This window comes from Homo sapiens, chromosome 13 (assembly GCF_000001405.40).
Source record: "Homo sapiens chromosome 13, GRCh38.p14 Primary Assembly".
Lineage (NCBI taxonomy): Eukaryota > Metazoa > Chordata > Mammalia > Primates > Hominidae > Homo > Homo sapiens.
Window position 1 is genome coordinate 63,428,501 of NC_000013.11, and position 26,470 is coordinate 63,454,970.

A 26,470-nucleotide genomic window follows, 5' to 3' on the forward strand; every position below is an offset into this window, starting at 1 on the left:
TTAAAACCTTTTTTTATGTACTCAGGGAAAATAGATCTTCATACTGATACGTTTGTATTGGTGAAAACGTGAATATCTGCTAGAGCCTGCAAGTAAATAGTAGTTAAAATCACCACAAATGAAAGTATCTTATGGTTTTACATGCATCTCCATTTCATTCATTAGCTTGAATTAAATTTACTGTTTTTCCTAATCCCAAAGGTCAAATATTATTTATTATGGCAGGTGGATATAGTTTACAAGCAGATTACTCTGAAGTCCTTTGTGAAAGTAAGAAACTATTTTATTTGTCCCTTCTGCTAAATCTGCATTTAATTTCCTTAAAATGTTTGAAAAATGATTACATGTATTTTAATAAAAATAACTAGTTGGCAACACACTGTTCCTTTAAAATGTTTGAGTAAAATAATATTCATTAAAAATTACTAGTTCTAATATTGAATACTTTTATGTAACTCTGTTAGTCATTATTCATCCATTTATTCAATACATCTTTAGTGAGCATCTTGCTGGAGCTGGCACTGTGATATAATGCACATATAGTAGTGAATAAGTCTGACATTCTCTTTTGTTTTGAGCAAAATTCTCTCTCTTGTTTTTACCCCACTTTTATAAATGGTTTCTTATATATGTTATTTATTTAATATTTTACATTTGGAAAGTCTTCTTTTTTCTGATTTAGTATTATGAAAATACTAATTGATGATTACCACTCATTTTTTAAGAGTGGAACTATTTCATATCATCTGTGGGGTCATGTAGATACATTTTCTATCTCCAGGAATTTAATCTCTAATCATGTTTCATCATAAGTCACATAAGTGAACGAATTTCTAGTAGACAAATTAAAATAGTGAACATGTTTGCTCTAAACATTATAATTATTTATTGTTTATCTTGTTGGCTTAAACACTAAATCAAAGCAATTATGTAGGAAATTAAGGCAAAAAATTTACTATATGTGAGAAGATAAGGATAGTTAAAAAATCAAAATATCACCTTTGAATGAATCAATAAAAATGTTTCTCTATATTGATTAAACATACTTGATAGTTTTTTCAGTGCTTTAAATTACTGTACTGATAAATTTCATTATGTTTTAAGTTAGAAAACCCCAGATACATGTAACATAGTTGGTAACACACTACATAAGAAAAAAACTACCTTTTTTTCTTTACTAATTTAATTGTTTTTAAAGATCAAGGATCTATAATTTCAAAGTAAAGATGATTTCGCTTATTTAAATATAAAGATATATTTATATTATATATTATATAAATATATAATTATTTTAAGGTAAAGACATAGATTTTAGTTATAGCTAACACCAGGAGGAAAAAGAGCAATACTCAAATTCTTTATTGTGTCATCAACTTATCTGTAGGCATCAATAAGACCTTTCAAAAAATTTTTTTTTTTTTAAAAAGGAGTCTCACTCTGTTGCCCAGGCTAGAGTGAAGTGGCATGATCTCAGATCACCACAAGCTCTGCCTCCCAGGTTCACACCATTCTCCTGCCTCAGCCTCCTCAGTAGCTGGGACTACAGGCACCTGCCACCACACCCGGGCAATTTTTTGTGTGTGTTTTTAGTAGAAATAGGGTTTCACCGTGTTAGCCAGGATGGTCTCAATCTCCTGACCTTGTGATCTGCCCGCCTCAACCTCCCAAAGTGCTGGGATTATAGGCGTGAGCCACCATGCCTGGCCAACCTTTCAAAAATTTTATTTCCCAAATTAAAAATGTACAAGACATACCTCTTAACAACCCCTTGTCACATTAGACTCAATGGCTAAATTACAGTATAACAAGATCTGATTATAATCAACTCCCTTATTGATTGAAAATGTTTTTAAAAAGGTTTGAAATAAAAGTAGTTTCATGTTTGCAACGTTATGCTTTCTTTTTATTTTTCTTTTCTATAATCATGCTTTTTTCTCTACATTTGCAGATTCTGTCATATCATTATGACAGGAATATAAATATTAATGTTTTAGCCTGTTGAAAGAATTACAGAATAGGGGATTCAAATTAATGTCTTATTAATATCTTTAGAACTGGCAAACAATCACATAATTTATATTACTTCAAAACTCCTACTAATATAGGTTTATTTTAATACATTTTTAAAAGCTCAAGCTTCAATTTTGCTTTATTTACTTAGAAGTTGTTCTATACTATACCCTTATAATAAATGCCTTTTAGAACTACACATTTATGTCAGCAGAGTTCATATAATCATTCTCCCAACACGTATCTTTATATATTGTTAGTCTTTTATAAAAAAAATTATGTCATGTATTAATATAATATAACCAAAACTTTTTTCAAAAAAGTTATTTTCTATTTCAAAGTTTAATTTAATAAACCTTTTCACTATAACACAATTTTTCATTTTCATATTAAGAGGTCAGTTGGAAGAACAGACACTGGGATTTTTAGCACAGTATGGGAAGAATTAATTACACATCTTCAATTAAGACCAATTAGAGTTGTACTTTCGCTGGCTTGCACACCATGAAAGAACTCTACCAAAATGTCTAATAAGCATAGACAGTTCATTAATGTTAAATTTGGTCTCCATGTCTATTTTCATCTCCTGTGGTGTTTTGTGGGTTCCTAAAAACTCCTGGAAATTAGGTATTAGAGATGTATAACATCATTTATAGGGATTTTAAATATTAAACAATACATTAATAGGTTAGCATTAGTTATATTCCTAGAATGTGGTAAAACATTTCAGGAAGTTTTGGATTTAATGATTTGATAAAATGAAACTTAATAAATCTTTACCCTAAATCTTTTATTCAGGAAACCATTACCATGCTGCACTAAAATGAGTCTAAAATGCTCCATGTCATTTTTAAAAGGACTAAAAACTGTATTTCTATTAGCAATTATTATATTTGTTGTATATATCTTATACAATATAGAGAATCTTATTACTTCACATTTTCAATGTGCTTTTCTCTGTGACATGTACATGTAAATAGTATATTTCACATTGGAAAGCACTTTGAACCTTTGCAAATTTGATCCAAAATAGAAATTACAGCAATTAGTAAGCTAATAAATGTGAACTTTAATGTTAATTTCTTATACAGAAATGAGTTATGTTTGATAAAATTGTCAGTAGACAGCTGTTTAAAACTGTCTAAATATTTCTTTCAGTAAATACTCTGTATATTTTTGAGACAATCAAGGCATTAAATGTAGCAAAATGTTTTAGACTAAAACAAATATTTTTATTTGAACAACTTGACTACTCCCTGTAGAAATGGCTTTAGAGTTGTTATATAAACATTACACTTAAATGCAGGTAAAACTTGAACCAAAATGTTAACCACAATTAAAAATACCAAATAAATACCAACTGGCCTAGAAAACGCCACTGATCTTAAATTTTGGACAATTACAGGCATGCAATTATGTTAAGATACACATGTATATGGTCAGTTAAATTGCAACCATGCAAATTATTGAGAAATGCCAAGTCTTCAACAAACATGTCAAAAAAACCTTATATCTGATAAGAAAAACAATGTAAGTGAGATAAACAGTGTACTTTAGCCCATACCTCACATCATAAAATAAATAGTTCACACTTTATTGAACACTTACCCATGATGCACTTACAAAAAAAGGGAAAGAAAAGATAAATAAGACTTCATAAAAATTAAAACTGACTTAGAAGTCACCATTGAGCACATAAAATTGAAAGCTATAGATTGAGAGAAAATATTTTAATATATTTCTACATAAACATATGTGTGTGGGAAAATATGTGTAATGTATTTGTACAAATAAATAGTAAGAAGATAACACTGTGTGTGTGTGTGTATGTGTGTGTGTGTGTGTGTGTGTGTGTGTTGAGATGGGGTTTTGCTCTTGTCACCCAGGCTGGAGTGCAGTGGTGTGATCTTGGCTCACTGCAACGTCTGCCTCCCAGGTTCAAGCAATTCTCCTGCCTCAGCATCCCGAGTAACCAGGATTACAGGCACACGCCACCACACCTGGAAAATTTTTTGTATTTTTAGTAGAGATGGGGTTTTGCCATATTGGCCAGGCTGGTCTCGAACTCCTGGCCTCAAGTGATCCACCTACCTGGGCCTCTCAAAGTGCTGGGATTACAGACATGAGCCACTGCAACCAGCTTAATACAGTTTTTTTTTTTAATGGGCAACATATTGGAAGACACTTTGCAAAGGCATACGTACCAATAATCAACAAATGCATGAAAAGTTGTTCAATATTGTTTTTCATCAGGAAAATGCAAATTAAAACTACCATTAGATATAACTTCACATCCACTAGGAAGGTTATAATTAAAGTGACAAAATATTGGAGAGGAAGAGTAACTGGAACTCTCATACTTTGCCGGTAGAGTATGAAATGATAGAGCCACTTTGGAATTTAGCTGAAAGCTTCCTAGAAAAGATCAATATATCTCTATTTTATATTACTTTATATGAGGCAGTCATTCCACTCCCAAGTATTTAACTAAAAGATATGAAAAGATGTCCATACGGAGGTGAATACAAGAATATTTGATGCAGTTTTATTCAAAAGAAACAAAAACTAGAAACAATACAAATGTCTACTAACAGAAGAATGAGTAAGAAATTATCACATATCATTTCAGTGAAATTATACTCACCAATAACTAACAAAATATAATTACACCTCATGAATTACTCTCAGGAAAATTATTTTAAGAAAAAGAAGCAGACAAAAAAAGCCCATACAAAATGATTTAATTTAAATGAACTTCAAGAAAAAGCCAACCTAATTTGCAAGGATAGAAATAAGAATCACTGACTAGAAAGGCTCACAGAAGGGGCTGATTAAAAAGAATAAAATAAATTTCTAAAGTGATGGACTTGTCTATATCTTATATATGACAGGTGCATATTTGCCAAAATTTATCAAACTGTACATTTATGAACTGTGCAACTTATATAATTATATATCACCTATATAATGATACATAACATGTTATTTAATATTATTTTCCTGTGTAGTTTTGTATATAGTAAAGTGTTAATAGCTATAAAATATCTGATATTATGGCTTACTTTTAACTTAAGTAGCTTGCCTGCCACTGTGTTATTGATGGTGGCAGAAGAATTGAGCTTCCTGTGTTGGAGTCAAATACTTTTATTAGTTATGTTATGAGAGGCAGAATGAGCTGTATGCCTGCATCAGTTCCCTTAAGACCCAAGTCCCATAGGAGCAATGTGGAGTGGCCCAGATGGGTGCTGCACATAAACAATGGGTTTGTGTTACAACTAAGGGATCCTGAGTTTAGGAAACCCTTAATTTTATAAGTAAGCTTCTAGTAAACTTGTTCAAATATTATTCTACAGAGATAATATATGTATTGTTCTATTGAAGGATTGTATCTATTTCCTGCCCTGAAGGAAAGTACTGTGTCTATCTTTCAAGGCTGTTCTCTATACAAATATGCTGGAAAAGAGATCAGGAAAAAATTTATATTAGTCATGCAGAAAGGTTATGAAAATACACAGAGGAAGCTTAAGTACATATTACTAAGTGAAAGAAGCAGTCTGTAAAAGGATGTATGTTATATGATTCCATCTATGACTTTCTGGAAAAGCCAAAACTATATACACAGTAAAACAATCAGTGATTGTCGGGGGTTGGATGGGAAAGAGAGATCAACAGGCAGACACAGAGAATTTTCGGGGCACTAAAACTACTCTATATAGTAGTATAATGATGGACATGTTTCACTGTATATTTGTCCAAGCTTATAGAACATACAACACCAAGAATAAACCTTAATGTAAGCTAGGGACTTTGGGTGATAATGATGTGTGAACATTGGTTCATCAATTGTCACAAGTGTTCCACTCTGGTGGAGTATGTTGATAATTCGGGAGTCTGTGTATGTATGGGGCAGAGGATGTACAGGAAATCCCTGTACAATCCCCTCAATTTTGCTGTGAATCTAAAACTGCTCTAAAAAATAAAGCCTATTTTTTAAAAGTTAAGAAATACCCTAGGGAAAAGGAGCAGAATTGGGAAGATGGTAGTCAAAGGATACAAAATTTCACTTAGACAGGAGCGGTAAGTTCAAGAGATCTATCACACAACACGCTATGACTATAGTTAATAACAATACATTGCATACTTGAAAATTGCTAAGACTAGATTTAAGTGTTCTCACTATACAAAAAGTTTTTTAAAAAAGAAAAATAAAAAGAAACACATTGATATTTAATAGCTTGTGTTTTGAAAGGGTGTATCATGCTTATTCATTGAGAAATATATGAGAGGGAGAGCAAGAGAGAAACGACACAAATACTTTATTGTGGTAGGTAAGAAAGAGAAGAAGATCATAAAATAAGTCTTCTATCATTAAATGAAGTGACTCCTTATCAACCCCCTGCAACAAAATAAAAACTGAAACTGTATACTATCTATCTATACATATATATATATATGACAACAAAAAAGTAATACATGCTGTGGTCCACACATGTATGACATGGAAGGTCTCTCAGCTTTGGGGTAGATGAATATTAAATATATATCTATATATATTTGGGTAATAATTAAATATATATGTATATATTTGGGTAATATATGTAAGTTTTCATAAAAACTTTTTAGAATTAAAATAGGCTTTTCTAATTAAGAATAATTTTTCATTGGTTCACTCTGTTCAGAAAAAATATAAAAGGACAAGCCTTTGGCCTATAGATGATTGACTCTCAAAACATCGTCCCCAACTCTAAATTTTGATTCTACACTGGGGCAGCTTTTCACTATGAATGTAGTTGCGAATCTTTGTTTATTAAATATTTATTGCATAAATATCTTATCAGGCTCTGGTCTCTGGGCCTTGAATTGTGAACTCTGTTCTGGCTGGAGTCACAGTATCACTTTGGGATTACCATCTCCATTAGCACTTTTATATTTCTTACTTAAGAAAATCTGAAGTAGCAAAAAATTGAATAGGGGATCCCTTGCATCCTCCACTGGCCCATGAATCTTAGGATATATTAAGGTATATTCCACTGCGGATAGGGTTATTTAAATCTTAATGCCAAAGAAAAAAATTGTAATTGCCTGGTGGGTTCTTCTTGCTTGCTGCATAGATAGAGCTGATTTACCGAAATAGAAGTATTGCAGCTGAGAAAGAGCTTAATAAATACAGAGCCAAATGGAATTGCAACAGTTTATTACTCAAATCAGCCACTCCAAGAACTCAGAGGCTAGTGTTTTTATGGCTAATGTGGTGAGCAAGGGGCTAGGGAAGGGGTGCTGCTGATTAGCTGGAATGAAGTCACAGGGGTGTGGAAAACACTCCTCATGTGCCAAGTCATCCTCTCGGTTTAGCCACAAGACTACTTGAGTCATGAATCACAACTCTGGGTGGAATTGGCCCCCAGGATGTAAAAGCATGAAAAACATCTCAAAAGATCAATCTTACGTTTTATAATAGTGATGTTAGCCATAGGAGCAACTGGGAAAGATACAAATCCTGTGACCTCCAGAACAGTGGCTGAACTGTGTTTACATTTCACCAGAAGGCAGGCCCCTCCCATGATCCTAATCTCATAGCCTTTCATTAGTTTTACAAGGTTTTGGTCCCTGGGCAAGGAGAGGTTAGTTTTAGGGAGGGACTGTTATCATCCTTGTTTCAAAGTTAAACTACAAACTAAATCCTCCCATGGTTAGCTTGGCCTATGTCCAGGAAATAGTGAGGACAGCCATCCTTTGAGGCTAGAAGCAAGACTGATTCAGCTATGCTAAAATTCTCTCACTATCATAATCTTGGCAAAGGCAGTTTCAAGATAATGAACTAACAAAAAGCTATCTACTTAAAGGCTCCAGGAAGGAACTTTTCAGTAGCATCCCTGAGAATAAAGACAGTGGTTCTGGCATTCATGAAGCTGGTAGGATGCAATTCTTCAGGGTGACAACGGCAATGACTTCTGTAAAGTGCACAATAGTCTCACTATGCATATGCCACAGGCATTCACTGTCTACTGAGCTGTGAAAGGAACTACTGGGCAGGAGGGCTCTATGGAGATGATGCCACTTCACATTTAAAAATCTTTCCATTTCGCATCATTGCCCTGAGGAAAAATCCAAACTAAAGCTGACCTCTAGGTATATTCCACACTTAACTCACATTCCTTTTCTTTTTCTTTCTGCTTATGCTCTGGATATAGCAAACACTTTGCAATTCTTGAAGGAATGGGTGCTTTCTGTATCTCAAGGTATTAATCTATGTATTCATGTTGTTACACATTGTATAACAATTCCTTGTCCATCTCTTCCCACAGTTTGTAAGCTCTTTCAGAAAAGGGACTGTCTTTGTTGCTTTTATAGCATGAGTACGTGGCATATCACAGCAGTTATTATTATAAACATTATTCATTAATTTAGTGAATTAATTTTCAATTGAATACAAATAAATATTTTAAATTAGGAACATTATTGCTAGATTTATATGCTCTACTAAAATAGTTGTAGTAACTGTCCAGATTACAGGAAGAATACTGAGGCCTTCTCTAGAACATAAATTTGTGCATTCATTATGACAATTGGGCCCTTCTTACTCATGGTACTAATTAAAACACTATTACGTGTACTTGGCATTGAGCTCTTATCAAGAACTAATTTTCTTTTTGAAAATTAGTAGAAACAGAAGAAAACAGTAGAAAACAGAAGAAAATATCAGTCTTAAAAACTGATTAAATCTTAATGCACAATTATCAAATTATTTGAATAAAACAAACAACTATAAGGAATGAAAAGAAAGTACACTTGGAAGAGGGCTAAGCGGGCAACTTGAAAGACAAGTACATGATTTGACCTTTTGACTTGGAGTTTTATATGTTGGCATGATTCCAGGGTCTTGTGTTCTTTCTCCCCTGATTCTTCCCTTTGGGTGGGCTGCCGACATGGGTAGTGGCCTGCTGGCACTTGGAAGAGGAGCATGCTCAGTGTGTTTACTGGATTTGTATGCTTGTTCACTTCAGGCATCCTTCCCTTACCAGCTGAATGTCCCTAGGAGATCATATACCAGTTAAATGCCACCATTTTGCCTCCTAGTGTGCATGTGTGAGCCCACTCACCCAACTCCTGACATCTTACTGGCAAACTGCTGATGACCAGCTTCTGGTGTTTCTGTTTGCTGGAGTACTGGCTTTCTCTGGTGCTGGCTGTGACTAGTTATTATTTTAGAGAGACAGTTAACAATAGCCTGACCATCAGTTGTTGGTCGCCTGATATTCCTGGTGTGTTTGTGGTTGGGGGAGCCCTCTTCTGCTCTGCTCATGTCTGACTAGCAACTTACTGTATCATTTTTATGCTATGAAGATAGCTTCTTCTCCTGAACCTCCTGAACTATCTGTTTCAAACTTCTGCAGCTTCCTCACCTCTCTCAGTGTTCATGGAATTGAACAGAGTTCTGGCCTTGCTCTAGATTAGACTTTGGCTTAAGAGAGTTCTGGCCTTGCTCTAGAATGTTGTGGCTGGTTTGGTCCTCTATCCAGACTACTACAACTTTCTCCATATCAGCAATAAGTCTATTTTGCTTACTTATTTGTGAGTTCATTGCAGTAGTACTTTATTTTCTTTAAGAACTTTTTCTTTGTATTCACAATTTGGCTAACTATTGGTTCAAAAGACCTAGCTGTCAGGCTGCCATGTCTTTTGATGACATCCCTTCCTCACTAAGCTTAATCGTTTCTAGATTTTGATTTAATATGAGAGACATAAGACTCTTTCTTTCACTTGAACACTAGAAGCAATTGTAGGGTAATTAACTGACCCAATTTCAATAGTGTTGTACCTCAAAGAATAAAGGGGCCTGAGGAGAAGGAGAGAGATAGGGGAATGGCCAGTTAGTGGGACAGTCAGAAGACACACATTTATCAATTAAGCTTTCTGTCCTATATGAATGCAGTTCATAGCATGCCACAACAATTACAATAGCATCATCAAAGGTCACTGATCACAGACCATCATAACTGATATAATATTAATGAAAAAGTCTAAAATATTGTGAGAATTACCAAAACATGACACAAGGACACAAAACGAACACATGCTGTTGGAAAAATGGTGCTGATAGACTTATTAAATACAGGACTGCCACATACCTTCAATTAAAAAAACATCTGCAAAGCGCAATAAAGTAAAGCACAATAAAATGAAGCATGCCTGTGCTTGAAAGAGCTAGGACCATATTGACTTCCTAGGAGACATGACAATCCAAAAAATAAATTTTCTTATTAAAATAGTAGAATAACGAATTGTAATAGTAATATAATCATGACAATGTAGTGGCGATTACCATCGACCCCCTAAAGTTTCACTGAAAAATCTCTGGCAGGGTTGATTCATGAGAGAAAAGGTATACAATTTTATTTAACATGTATACACAAGTGCCTTCAGGATGAAGACCCAACTATCACGGATGCCACTGGCTGGGGACAGTGCTGCTGGTGGCAAAAGAATTTTCCAAGGAAGACGTGGGGAAAGAAAGGCAGATTTATTAGAGAGAAAGTATGCTGCAGGGAAGCAACAGGCAGCACAGCACAAAAGAGGCTGTTTACAAAGAGGCAGGGGTTGGAACAGCAAGACCTGATACTGAGTTGTACTGGAGGGGCTGCTTTCAGATAAGGTGTGCAGATAAGATGGTGCTGCTGGGGCTAGGAGGTATTTGGGAACAGGATGTCATGCCAGCCGTTGTCTGTGATTAGCTGTCTTTCCAAAGAAACAATTGTTCCCCCCACACCTGGGATCCCTTGCTCTTGTTGCTTAGCGAACTTATCAGGACTCCACACCAAATTTCTAATGAGTTACAGAAACTTATATATCATTCTGAGGTTACAAAAAGAAAGGGGGCTTGGATTCTGGTAAAATAGGTTATAGGAGGAGGCAGAAAAGGAATTCTATTGAGAGGCAATAAATTATTGTTAGGGAGAATAATTGGACTCAGGAACAGAGATTAACTTGTAAATAGTTTTCAATGGGATATAAATGATCTTTGGAGATAGTAAAAGTTTCTGCTAAGGTGTGAATCTTGTCTTTTTTTTCTGCAATAGATAATGTGATAACAGAGAGGGAAGGAAAAAACAATTGTTCTTAGTGGGTTTGGATCTTAGGCAGATAAAGGAACTTAAGTTCCTTTAGGAGAGACAGTGGGGACTGGTAGTGGGGCGGGGGGAATGGTCAGTGGTTAAGGGAGACCCTGAGGCTTCTCTAGTTTAGCATGTCAAAATGCCAGATTTTGGGGTACTGATTTCGGAGCCCCAAAAGCAAAAGTAGCAAATCCTGAAAGACAGGAATACGTATTTGTAAAGGTGCTGATATGCAATTCACACTGAAAAGCAAAAGTGTATTGCTGACATCCTAGAATTGACAGTGACCAAACATGAGTTGTGGTGCTTGTCTTAGTTATTTAAGGCTTCTATAACAAAATATCATTAAGTCTGTGGCTTATAAACAACAGAAATTGGTCGGGCATGGTGGCTGACACCTGTAATCACAGCACTTTGGGAGGCTGAGGTGGGTGGATCACTTGAAGTCAGGAGTTTGAGACCAGCCTGGCCAACATGGTGAAACCCTGTCTCTACTAAAAATGTAAAAATTAGCCATGTGTGGTGGCATGCGCTAGTAGTCCCAGCTGATGTAGGAGAATTGTTTGAACTCGGGAGACAGAGGTTGCAGTGAGCTGAAATCATGCCACCACCCTCCAGCCTGGGTGACAGAGCAAGACTCTGTCTCAAAAAAAAAAAAAAAAAAATCCAAAACAAACAGAAATCAGAAATTTATTTCTCACTATTTTGGAGGCTGGAAGTCCAAGACGAGATTTTTTTTTTTTTTTTTTTTTGAGACAGAGTTTCACTCTTGTTGCCCAGGCTGGGGTGCAGTGACATGATCTCGGCTCACCGTAACCTCTGCCTCCTGAGTTCAAGTGATTCTCCTGCCTCAGTCTCCCTAGTAGCTGGGATTACAGGTGTGCACCACCATGCCTGGCTAACATTTATTGTATTTTTAGTAGAGATGGGATTTCTCCATGTTGGTCAAGCTGGTCTTGAAATCCCAACCTCAGGTGATCCACCTGCCTCGGCCTCCCAAAGTGCTAGGATTACAGGTGTGAGCCACTGCACCCCACCTTGGGGTCTCTTTTAATAGGGCACTAATACCATTTATGAGGGCTCCATCTTCATGAATTAATCATCCTCCCAAATCCCCACCTCCAAATGACACTATACTGGGAGAACACAAATATTTAGTCATAACAGTGTCCTTTAGGGATGTTACAGGTAATTAGACAGGCATGAGTGGGGCAGGAGAGGGCTCTCCCCCACCACTAGGACTGTCAGGTGATGGCTTGGCAATTATCACATTGTCTCTCTAAAAGTGATAAGTTGGCAGCCAGCACCAGGGAGAAACAATCTCCTAATAGTCCACAGCTGTTAACATTAAAGTGTTAATTGAATGCAGATGCCAGGGAGATGCAACTTCTCCATTAAGATACAAAATAACAGAGTATGACCTTCTAGGGATATTTTTCCCTTTACTGGGTTCCACCAGAAAAAGAAAAAAAGCCTCAGATGGGCATGCGCACAACTTCCTAAACACACTGGACATGCTCACATCCCAAGTGTAAGGAGGACGCTGCATGTGCAGGCAGCCCACTCTAAGGAAAGAGTCATGAGAAAGGGGTTCAAGACACTGGAAAGGGGCCACACTATAAAGTCCTAGGATCACAGCTGAACACCACAATTATTCTTCAAGTTGCCCACCTGGATCTCTTCCAAGTGCACTTTCCTTTCTTTCCTGCTCTAAAGCTTTTTTATCAACTTCCACTCCTGCTCTGAAACTTGCCTTGGTCTCTTTTTCTGCTTTATGCCCCTTAGTGGAATTATTTCTTCTGAGGAGGCAAGAATTGAGGCTGCTACAGACCCATATGGATTTGCTGCCAGTAACTCAGATACCTTCCACAGGTAACAGGGAGAAGAGGGAATATAGTGGACTGCTAAATGACTATTAATAAAGAACTGAGATAAGAAATAATTTATCTATTAAAACTTTGTGATTGTTAATACTGAGTGTCAACTCGATTGGATTGAAGGATGCAAAGTATCAATCCTGGGTGTGTCTGTGAGGGTGTTGCCAAAAGAGATTAACATTTGAGTCAGTGGACTGGGGAAGATAGACCCATCCTTAATCTGGTGGGCACAATCTAATCAGCTGCCAGCAAATATAAAGATGGCAGAAAAAGGTGAAAGGGTGAGAATGGCCTAGACTCCCAACCTACATCTTTCTCCCATGCTGGATGCTTCCTGCCCTCGAACATCAGACTCTAAATCCTTCAGCTTTGAGACTTGGACTGGCTCTCCTTGCTCCTCAAGCTGGCAGACAGCCTACTGTGGGAAATTGTGATCATGTAAGTTAATAATAAACTCCCGTTTATATATGTGTGTGTGTGTCTGTGTGTGTGTGTGTGTGTGTGTGTGTGTGTGTATTCTATTAGTTATGTCCCTTTAGGAGACCCTGACTAATACAGATTTTGGTACCAGGAGTGGTTCTAGAGAAACAGAATATTAAGGATGGAGTTCTTTCATTGGTTTTGGGGTTTGTGAGTTGGTTACCTAATATGATTAGACCCAAAAATGCTAAGGACTCTATTTATAATAGTATGGAGAACACTGATAGTCCTTGGCATGAACTGTTTAGAGAGTTATGCAAAATAAAATAAATGCATTTGACACTCCAGATTCACCACTTGTGAGAGGCAAGCAGTTTAGTCATCTATACATAGTACCTTTGACCATATGTGGAGAACCAAGGAATATAATAAAGCTGGTTGGTTGCTCCTAAGTTCAGTGGACAAGTGATGGAAAAAATGATGAATGCAGATTATAACTCCCAGCTTCAGAATCAGATACTGAGCATTAAATCTGCTAAGATTGCCCTGAGTGAGATTCTTATCTTCTGCAGAGAAAGAGCTGAAATTGTGGAAAAACAGACATAAGCTCTTATCATGCAAGTGGCTGACCTGCAAAGAAAGGTGCATCCACAGCCTTGCCAGGTGTCTACTGTTAAAGTGAGGATACTGATTGAAAAAGAATGGGACCCTGCAACTTAGAATGGGGATGTGTGGGAGGACTCTGATGAATCTGGGGACACTGATGAACCTTTTTTGCCAGAAGGAACAGCTATACTATCACCAGTAGTGACAACATCCCTTCCCTGACCCATGCAGCCATCAGCCTTTCTAGCTTTGTCTGAGGAGATAAACCTTGCACTGCCTGAGGCAACAGTGATGGCCTCCCCTGAGGCAGTTGCCAGGCAAAATAATGTTGGTTCTTCTCATGAGCCACCTCGAACACTCATTTGGTTCTAGACCTATAACTAGACTAAAGTCCCAGTGGGTCCCTAGAGGTGAGGTTGACCCATGAGGAGGTGTACTACACTCAAAAAGAACTGCTTGAGTTTTCTAATTTATAAACAGAAATCTGGAGAACATGCATGAGAATGGATATTAAGGGTGTGGCATAATGGTGGAAGAAATATAGAATTGGATCAGGCTGAATTCATTGATTTGGGCCCACTAAGTAGGGACTCTGCATTTAACGTTCCAGCTCATCGAATTAAAAAAGATTATAAGAGTTTATTTGTTTGGTTAGCGGAAATATGGATTAAAGGATGGCTTACTGTGAGTGAGCTGTAAATGCCTGATCTCCCTTGGTTTAAGGTCGAGAAATTGATCAAAAGGCTTAGGGAGTTTGGAATGGTGGAGTGGATTAGTCACTTTAGACCTACTCATCCCAGCTGGAAGGGTCCAGAAAATATACTCTTGACCAATGCCTTGCAAAATAGATTCGTGAGGGCAGCACCTGTGTCTTTGAAGAGCCCTGTAACAGCTCTTCTCTGTATGTCAGATCTAAGAGTAAGAACTGCAGTCACTCAACTATAAAATTTAAATACAATGGGAATAATTAGATCCCAAGGTGGCAGGAGCCAAGTGGCAGCACTCAAATATCTAAGGCAAGGTGGGCATGGCTACTGTAATGGTCAGCAAAGACAAAGCAGCAATAGGAATAGTCTGACTTGTGTAGAGCTCTGGCATTGGCTAATTAATATGCTGTTCCTAGAAGTAAAATTGTTAGGAAGCCTACTGCATTCCTACTTACAATATATATGAAGAGAAACTTCTAGGTTAAATGGACAGAAGACTGATTTGAATTAAGAAAACAGAGAATCAAAGCCCCTCAATTAACTTCCAGACTTGAGGCAGTTTACAGACCCACAGCCCATTGAATGAAGGGGAGGCTGGATCCCCTTGAGGAAGGACCCCACTACATTACCAACAATTTATGCAGTGAATTGTTCTCCTATCCTTCCCCAAGGAGACCTCTGGCCTTTTACCAGGGTAACTGTGCACTGGAGAAAGGGAAATGATCAGACATTTTGGGGACTACTGGACACTGGCTCTGAGCTGATGTTGATTCCAGGGGAGCCAACAATTATTCCATTAAGCTGGAAGTTAAGATTGCCACCTGGATAGTTTGGGCTCCTCCTACCTTGAAGTCAGCAGGCTAAGAAGGGAGTTACAGTGTTGGCCAGGACTATTGATCCAGATTATCAAGATGAAATCAGTCTACTACTCCATAACGGAGGTAAGGAAAAGTATTCATGTAATACAGAAAATCCATTAAGGCATCTGTTAGTATTACCATGCCCTGTGATTAAGGTCAATGGGAAACCACAACAGCTCAATCCAGGCAGGACTACAAATGGTCCACACCCTCAGGAAGGAAGGTTTGGGTCACTCCACCAGGAAAAAATCAACGACCTGCTGAGGTGCTTTCTGAAGGCAAAGGGAATATAGAATGAATAGTAGAAGAAGGTAGTCATCAATACCAGCTACAATCATGTGACCAGCTCCAGAAACAAGGAATGTAACTGTCATGAGTATTTCCATCTTTTGTTAAAAACATGTTTGTGCGTGTATACACTTGTACTGAGAAAATATCTTCATTTTATTTCCTTTCCGTTTATCATGTGACAGAAGATTTATTGACTTCATATCAGCATTTAAGTATTGTTAACTTTATGTAATAGTATTTGGGTTGGGGATTGGTGTGTTTTGGGTTGTACAAAGGATAGTTACATTATATTAGGCATAATTATGACCTCATTATTGTCTTTATTCGAAGATTATGTATGATCTCAGGAGATGTGTATGGGTTCAAGTAGACAAGGGTAGACTTGTGATGGTTAATACGGAGTGTCAACTTAATTGGATTGAAGGATACAAAGTATTGATCCTGGGTGTATCTGTGTGAGTGTTGCCAAAGGAGATTAACATTTGAGTCAGTGGGCTGGGGAAGGCAGACCTACCCTTAATCTGGTGGGCACAATCTACTCAGCTGCCAGCAAATATAAAGACAGAAGAAAAAGGTGAAAAGGCAAGACTGGCCTAGCCTCCTAGCCTACATCTTTCTCCTGGGCTGGATGCTTTTTGCCCTTGAACACTGGATTCCAAGTTTTCAGTTTTAAGACTCTGACTGGCTCTCCTTATTCATCAAGCTTGCAGACAGCCCATTGTGGGATCTTGTGATAGTGTAAGTTAATATTTAATAAACTCACCTATATGTATATATATATAGAGAGAGGAGATATATATATGTGTTTGTGTGTGTGTACATATATATATATACTGATGAGTATATATATATATATACTGATGAGTATATATATATATACTGAGTATATATATATATACTGATGAGTATATATATATATACTGATGAGTATATATATATATACTGATGAGTATATATATATATATACTGATGAGTATATATATATAGATGAGTATATATATACTGATGAGTATATATATATAGATGAGTATATATATATACTGATGAGTATGTATATATATATACTGATGAGTATATATATATATATACTGATGAGTATACATATATATACTGATGAGTATATATATAATGAGTATATATATACTGACGAGTGTATATATATATATACACTAATAGGATATACATATCTCTATATATAATATATATATACTAATAGGATATCTATATCTCATATATATGAGATATATATATAATTCTCTCCCTCTAGGGAACCCTGACTAATACAAACTCTTTTCCTTTCTATGGAAGTTTAGAAGATACTTGTTCATCATTCTGGATAAAATTGGGGAGACATCTATATGGGCCTTAGTGAATAAATATTTTATATAAAATGTATTTAAGATAAAAATACAAAATGTAAGAGAATGTAGCAAATATATTAAAATAAAAATTCAAATAGCAAATATATAATTATACAATATAAGTAATTTTACAATATTTAGTGAATGACTTGAGTTAGTATAATTTATTATAAGTATGCTTAATCAAGTATACTGATCCCACGCATTAAACTTGAAAATGGCAGACAAAATCCCAGATAAAGACTTTTTATGATGATCTTTCCAAATTCCTGAATATCACAATTGACTGGAAATGTTTACATGAGTAAATAAAACACTTTTCACCACCATTACAATATTAGCAATGATTAAAGTTATGTTATGAAAACTATATCTTTTTAATTTTATTGACTTCTAATGTTAAAAATGCAATTTGCTTTCAGTTGAATATTTCTAAATATTAAAAAACAATAAAGAAGCCCTAATTTGCAGAATGATAGAGCAACTCTGTAGCTAGCTTGTGTGCCACTAAATAGGTAAATTAATCCACAGAGAAAAGTATACCATACCTAGAAAAATAGAGATTCAAGTGTATATACCCTAGAGCTGTGCCCAGAAGGGAGGATTATACACCTCGTTCATCCTCCATCTTCTTTACTGCCATACTTCAGCCGTCAGTGGCTTGTTTCTAATGTGCTAAGGCATTAACTACAAATCACTGCACAGGTTTTTTTTTTTTTTAATCCACCATATGCTGTTGTGCTCTCTTCCGATAACTATTGACGTCAGTCTGTGAGAATAAGCTCATCCTTGGCCAGGTTCAGCATATTTTGGCAGGACAGTGTGTGGTAAATATCACTCTTGCTTGCTACCTGCAATGAACACAAGATGTGCAATCTGAACGTACTTCAATAGTGACATCCTATAAGGATGGTCAAAAGAGGCTGCTGATGGCCAGCGAAGACAGAGTCAGGAATTCCAGGCACTCCAGAAACTGGCCCTCCAGCCCAAGGATGGGTATCAGTTTCCTATTGCAGCTAGGGGATATATTTATCAGGAAGTCTGGAATAGAAAGCTATAATAGTATAGAAAAATGCCATGCCACATTCTAGTCCAGGTAGAAACTATAGAAATTTCTGGTTCACATAAGAGAGACTACGTTAAGTTGTAAAAACTGTTAAACTGTAAAAAGAACCTTAAAATCAATAGAAACTTAACAATTATTTATTACCTCAAGGTTAAGTAAAATTCAAAGAATGAGAAACTAGACCAATTTGGATTCAAATAATCAGATCTACACTTTTTTAATGATGAAATGCAGTGACTCCAAATCTAATCCTCATACTCCCTATCCTCTAAAAAAGAAAACAATAACTACCTCAGAGTAGAGCAGATAACAATATGAATCAATAAAAGCAATTAAATTCACAAAAATGTGTATCGCAATATAATGTATCATAGCAAATATTTTAAAACGGTCCATTTGAACAATAATATGGTAATAAAATGATTTCCAAAGTGTGGTCCCCAATTCAGCAGCATCAACATCAAGTAAAGGCACATTTCGAGAAGTCAGACTACTGAAACAGAAACTCTGAGAGGAGAGCCCGACAATCTGTTTTAACAAGCCCTTCAGTTGATTCTGACGCATGCTAATGTTTGAGAACCACTGGTTTAGTGAACTACAAAGCTTACATTCATTTTTTTGTGCTGCTAAAATGAACATTGTGATGACTATGCAGATCCAAGCAATACCCTATTAAATATAACTATAAATAAAATTATACGAAGTTGTATGGATATGATAAAGGAATTATTACATAATTATGCAAATAGGTAAAGCCTTACATTGGAGGTCTAGTGAAATAATCTATCTTCATATACTGATTGAAATAGATTTTTAGAGTTTGAATTTTTCTACATTTATAAAAGATAGCCAATCAAAGTTATCACAATCTAAGAAAAGAACTTAATTGAATACATACAAATGTAACAATGAAAGACTTAATTTTTTGTGTTCATAGAAAAAGAACTTTTCTCTTTAAGAGAACTAATACATGCTTAATAACAGGAATTTTTATGGGTAGATGTTTGTTCTGTTATATTTTCATCCTTGCCCATCAAACATATCTTAGAAAATATTTTGTTTTATTTATAGTCACTATCAAAAACATACATAAAGACTGTAACCAGGATAACAAGGAAGGGAGAAGGCACATTTTATTTTTAAGAAAGACCTTTATTCCATTTGACTGGTCCCCCAAAATATGTATTTTTATAGTAATACTTTGATCACTGAAATTTGACATTTCTCCAGTCTTTCTTATTTAAAATAATTAACAAGTCACTTAAATTTTTAAATACAAATATAACTGTAACACACATTTCTATAACTAGAATAAGTAGGAAAAACCTAAAATCATAGTTTTTATTTACATGACATTGTTTCATTTTTATCTATTCATGAATTAATTTCTGTAAGGGGGATATAAGTATAGCATTAGAGGGATTAGAGTCAACAAAGATGGGCTCTACTGGTTTGCTCAGAAAATTCTTAAAGCCTCAATCTTTAAGGCTGAAAAGTAATCATGAAACTACAAAAAGTTATACAATAAAATTGTTTCTTATTTTTGATTGAATTGAGTGACAAACATATTTTTAAAATCAAAGAAATTACAGGTTAGATAAAATTAAATAAAAGAAATTGAATCATAAGTAAGCTTAAACTTCAAGTATTGTTCCTTTTTCAACACTAATCTCATGATTATTTATCAATGACTAAAAAGCATACTTAAGATAAAAAGAAATGGAATCTTTTACAATAGGATGATTTCCACTCTGAATTAGAAACTTGGATCATTACCTTAAGATTATAGTTTGCACTTAGTATAAATAGAATGTGATGGGCCTCTGCCATCCTTTGAATTCAGGAGAAACACTGCACAATGATAAGTGCAGTGAGCAGTACAGGGACTTTCTATTACAGCAGCTCAGTTGTACAAAGGACTTTTTAAAAATGACTAGCAGATAAAGCTGTTCATTTGTGAATAGGACATTATCATCTACTGAATAACTGAATTTAAGATCATTTATCACTGTCAGTCTCTGAAATCTTTTTCACAATGAGAAAGATATGTAATTACTGAATAATTTGAAATAATTTTAAAAGGCAACATTACAAACTGCTTAAGAATGCCATTCTATTTACGTTAACAATGCAATGCACTATTTGGATTTCTAACTGACTTCTGACATGTTTTATACTATTTTCCCATGTTTTAACTGTAAGAGAACCTTGGTTTCTTATAGAAACTTAGCTTATTCCTGGCCGGGTGCGGTGGCTCACACTTGTAATCCCAGCATTTTGGGAGGCTGAGGTGGGTGGATCATGAGGTCAGGAGATTGAGACCATCCTGGCTAAAAGGGTGAAACCCTGTCTCTACTAAAAATACAAAAAAATTAGCCATGCATGGTGGTACACGCCTATAGTCCCAGCCACTTGAAGGCTGAGGCAGGAGAATCACTTGAACCTGGGAGGCGGAGGTTGCAGTGAGCCAAGACTGTGCCACTGCACTCTAGCCTGGGCAACAGAGCGAGACTCCATCTCAAAAAAAAAAAAAAAAAAAGGAAAAAGAAAGAAACTTAATTTATTCTTACACATTAATGTAATGTTCAAAGAAATTTTTCCTAAATGCTATGAGAGCAATTACTTTTTTACCAATACTGGTCACTATTTATAATAGAACACAGGTTTGTTTTCTGAAATTAGATCAGACCATCCCTCATGTCAGACACATTCTCTTTTGAGTTATTTCTTAATCTTTTTACTTAGTCCTCCAAATCATACATGAGGTTACACCAGTTTGCTTTGTAAATGACTGAATAGTCTAAAGTTTTCCCTCAGCTTGAATAAACGTTTCTTCCTGACTATATAGCCTCTTGACCTCCCTTTATTTTGGAGCATTCACTTTAGAATACTTGGAATTGTAAATTTTTTTCTGCCCTTGGGGGAAGATATAAATCTTCTGCCAGCCTCTTGCCAGTTTTATTACCCATGAATGTCTTTCCCAAGGACCTGGGAGGTATCCTTTTGAAATGTAATCATGAAGAAAGATAGTGCCCCTTCTCCTAGTCTATGCTGGTGAGTGGGAGCCTAATTGTTGTAACTATCACCTAGCAAACACAGATGGCATAATCACATCAGCCAACTACCCTCCTAACAGCCTTTCACTAGATTAGCTCATCCCTGTGCTTAAAAACTCTCCTGCTTTTTGTTTCAACAGAGTTTATATCAATCTATCTCTTATAATAGTCTTAAATAAAGTCTTCCTTACCCACTAAACCTGACCAGTGCAATTTCCAACACTGGTAAACTTAGATGTTATATGATTTATATAAAGAGCCATAATTTTTTCACAATTTAAGTAATATATTTGAATATTATTTATTTAAAATTAAAAGATTAATTCTAAAAACAAAAAAACATTAATTCACAAACAAAATTGGTATATTTCTTTTTTTCTTTTTCTTTTTCTTTTTTTTTTTTTTTGAGATAGAGTCTCGCTGTGTCTCCCAGTCTGGAGTGCAGAGGCGATCTCAGCTCACTGCAAGCTCCGCCTCCCGGGTTCACGCCATTCTCCTGCCTCAGCCTCCCGAGTAGCTGGGACTACAGGCGCCCACCACCATGCCTGGCTAATCTTTATTTTTTTGGCTTTTTAGTAGAGAGGGGGTTTCACCTTGTTAGCCAGGATGGTCTCGATGTCTTGACCTTGTGATCCGTCCGCCTCGGCCTCCAAAAGTGTGCTGTATTTCTTATAAGAGAACACGTACAAACTTCTGAATTTTTTCAAACTTTTTGAATTTGTGAAGTGTTGGGAAAAGGATATTTCATGAAAATGAAAGCCAAAGAAGAGCAGGAGTAGTTGTACTTGCATCAGATAAAATAGACAAGTCAAAGACTGTCAAAATAGGCAGAAAGGTCACTAGATGACAATAAAGGGGTTAATTCTTCAAAAGAATATAGTAACTATAAATATCTAGGTACCCAAAACAGAAGCATCCAAGTATATAAAGCAAATATTAATAGATTTAAAGGGAAAGACAGACCATAAAATGTAATAGTAGGAAACTTCAACACCTCACTTCTAGTATCATTCAGACAGAAAGTCCGCAAAGAAACATTGGAATTAAACTCCACACTAGACCAATGGGCTTCGGTGTTTCGTAATGCACATTCTTCTCAATATCACATGAAATAATCCTCTAAATATACCACGTTATGCCACAAAACCAGCCTCAACGCATTCAAAAATCTCAAAATCTCAAGTATTTCTTTCTGACCATAATGGAATAAACTAGAAATTAATTACAAGAGGAGTGGTGGAAACTAAACAAACTCATGAAAATTAAAAACTTGCTTCTGAACAATCAACGGGGTGATGAAAAAATTAAGAAAGAAATTTTAAAAATTTCTGAAACAAATGAACATGGGAGCACCACATGTGAAAATCTATGAGATGGCCGGGTGCGGTGGCTTACGCTTGTAATCCCAGCACTTTGGGAGGTCGAGGTGGGCAGATCACGAGGTCAGGAGATCGAGACCATCCTGGCTAACACGGTGAAACCCCGTCTCTACTAAAAATACAAAAAAAAAAATTAGCCGGGAGTGGTGGCGGGCGCCTGCAGTCCCAGCTGCTCAGGAGGCTGAGGCAGGAGAATGGCATGAACCCGGGAGGCGGAGCTTGCAGTGAGCCGAGATCGTGCCACTACACTCCAGCCTGGGCAACAGAGCCAGACTCTGTCTCAAAAAAAAAAAAAAAAAAAAAAAAAAACTATGAGATACAGTAAAAGCAAGACTAGGAGGGAAGTTTATAGCAATAACACCTACGTAAAAACAATAAGTAGATTTCAAATAAACAATCTAACAATGTCCCTCAAGGAACTAGGAAAGCAAGAACAAATCAAACCCAAACTTAATAAAAGGGAAGAAATAATAAATATCAGAGCATAAATAAATACAATTGAGACTAAAAAATACAAAATATCAACAAAATTAAAAGTTGGTTTTTTGAAAAGATAAAATTGACAAACCTTTAGCTAGACTAAGAAACTAAGAGAAAAAGGAGGAAGATCTAAGTAGATAAATCAGAGATGAAAATGAAACATCACTGATGCCAGAGAAATATAAAGCATCACTAGAAATTACATTGAACAGGCCGGGTGCAGTGGCTCATACCTGTAGTCCTAACAATTTGGGAAGCTAAGGTGGGTGGATGACTAGAGGTCAGGAGTTCGAAACCAGCCTGGCCAACATGGTGAAACCCCATCTCTACTAAAAGTACAAAAAAATTAGACAGGCATTGTGGCGAGTGCCTGTAATCCCAGCTATTTGGGAGGCAGGAGAATTGCTTAAACCCGGAAGGCAAAGTTGCAGTGAGCTAAGATCATGCCACTGCCCTTCAGCCTGGGCGACAGAGTGAGACTTACTTTCCAAAAAAAAAAAAAAAAAAAAGAAAGAAAGAAAGAAAGGAAGAGAGAGAGAGAGAGAGATAAATAAATAAATAAATAAATAAATTACATTGCACAATTATATGCTAACAAGTAGAAAAATCTAGAAGAAATGGATAAATTTCTAGATACATACAATCTATGAAGATTGAATCAGAAAGAAATAGAAAACCTGCACAAAGTAATAGAGAATAATGAAATTGAAGCCATAATAAAAATATCCCATCAAAAAATCCCAGGATCTGATGGCTTCACTGCTGAGTTCTACCAAACATTTAAAGAACTAATACCAAATACTACTCAAACTCTTCAAAAAAATCTAAGGGGAAGAATATTTTCAAACTTGTTACACGTTTATATACATCATTTATATACCTCAATGGTGAACAATGAAAAAAATCATAATACTTAAGAATATATTTAACCAAAGAAATGATAAAAACTATAGAAGGAAAACTGTAAAACACACTGATTAAAGAAATTAAAGTTTATACCAGAAATGGAAAAATATTCCATTCTCATGGATTGGAAGTATTATATTGTTAAAATGTCAATACTACCCAAAGAGATCTTGAGATTCAATGCAATCTTTATCAGAATACTAATGACATTCTTCACAAAAATAGAAAAAAAAATCCTGAAGTATATACAAAACCTCAAAAAAACCTGAATAACTAAAGCAATTCTGAGCAAAAAGAATGAAGCTGGAAGTATCACACTACCTGACTTCAAAATTTTCTACAAAGCTATGTAAACCAAGTCATCATGGTACTGGCCTAAGAACAGATACATAGACGATGGAACAGAATAGAGAACCAGAAATAAATTCATACATTTACAGCCAACTTATCTTGACACAGGCGCTAGGAACATACAGTAGGGAAAGGACAGACTCTTCAATAAATACTGCTAGTAAAACTGTATAGTCACATGCAGAAGCATGAAACTGATTCCTATTTCCACCATATAAAAAAATCAAATCAAAATGGATTAAAGACAAATGTAAGCCCTGGAACAAAGAAACTACTACAAGAAAACATTGAGGAAATGCACCAGGACACTGGTCTGGACAAAGAGTTTTTAAGTAAGACCTCAAAAGCACAGGCAGCAAAAGCAAAAATAGACTAATGAAATTGCATCAAGCTAAAAACCTTCTGTAAAGGAAAAGAAACATCAACAAAGTGAAGGGACGACCTGCAGAACGGAAGAAAGTATTCACAAACTATCCATCTGGTAGGAAATCCGTAACTGAAATATATGAGGAACTCAAGTCAGTAGCAAAAAACCCAAATAATTCAATTTAAAAATGGGCAAAAGAACTAAAAATAGATCTACCATTTGATCCAGCATTCTCACTGCTGCATATCTACCCAAAATAAATCATTTATCAAAAGGATACCTGCAATTGTTTATCATAGCACTATTCACAATAGTAAATATATGGAATCAACCTAGGTGTCTATCAATGGATGACGTTTAGAAATGTGATGTATGTATACATGTATGTTTTTAGAAATGTGATGTGTGTATATATATATACACACTACATATGTATGTAGTATATATATCATACAATATACATGTAGTATATATTATACAATATATACTATATGTATTGCATATATTATACAATATACCCAGCCATGGAAAAAAAGAATTAAATTATGTCTTTTGAATCAACATAGATGGAACTAGAGGCCATTATCCTAAGTAAAATAACTCAGAGACAGTCAGACACTGCATGTTCTCACTTATAATAATAAATAATGTGTAAACATGAACACAAAGAATGGAATAATATAAAATGGAGGCCTAGAAATGTGGGAAGTGGGAGGTGGGTGAGGAATGAGAAATTACTTAAAGGATAAAATGTACACTATTCGGGTGGTGCTTACATTAGAATCCCAAACTTCACCACTCTACAAGGTATCCATGTAACAAAACTGCACTTATACCTCCTAAATCTATTAAAACAAAACAAAACAAACAAAGCGATTAATCGTTTTTAAAAAATGGGCAAAATATATGAATAGACATTTCTTAAAAAGAAGACATATAAATGGCCAACAGGTATGTGAAAAAATATTCAACATCACTAATCAACAAAGAAAAGCAAATCAAAACTGCAAGGAGATACCATCTCATCCTACTTGAAATGACTTTTATCAAAAAGATAGATTATGATGGATGCTCCAAGAATGTAGAGAAAAGGGAAATCTTGTACACTGTTGATGGAAATGTAAATTAGTAAAGCCAGTGTGAAAAAAATATGGAGGCTTTTCAATAAAACTAAACATAGAACCGCCGTATGATCTAGCAATCCCACTACTGGACATATATCCAGAAAAAAAGATTTCAATATATGAAGAAATACCTGCATTCACGTGTTTATTGAGGCACTATTCACAATAGCCAAAATATAAACTCAACCTAATTGTCCATCAAAGGTTGAATGGGTAAAAAATGTGGTATATATACACAATAGAATATTATTCAGCCATAGAAAAGAAGAAAATCCTATCATTCACAGAAGCATGGATGGAACTGGAGGTCACTGCAAGTGAAATAAGCCAAACACACAAAGACAAATATTGCATGTTCTCACTCATATGTGTAAGCGAAAAAAGAGGCCCTCATGAAAATAATATATTGGAGATTATCAGAGGTCAGGAAATGTGTGAGTTGAGATGAAGAGAGTTTGATCAATTGATACAAAAATACAGTTAGAAGAAATAGGAC

General features: G+C 35.6%; 1 long non-coding RNA gene across 1 annotated transcript in view, besides 1 other annotated feature; it reads left to right on the plus strand.

Annotated features, from left to right (window-relative positions):
• The window catches only part of LOC124903236 (uncharacterized), a 116,328-nt gene that overhangs the window by 31,393 nt on the left and 58,465 nt on the right, over window positions 1-26,470 (plus strand). The gene's annotated exons all lie outside the window — the stretch shown is intronic.
• Window positions 24,653-24,822: an enhancer, noted in NCBI's record as "experimental_33081 CRE fragment used in MPRA reporter constructs". NCBI's record gives its function as "activates a minimal promoter by MPRAs in K562 erythroleukemia cells, with activity observed for the non-introgressed 13:64027371 variant allele {active_cell/tissue: K562}" and the evidence as "EXISTENCE:reporter gene assay evidence [ECO:0000049][PMID:34662402]".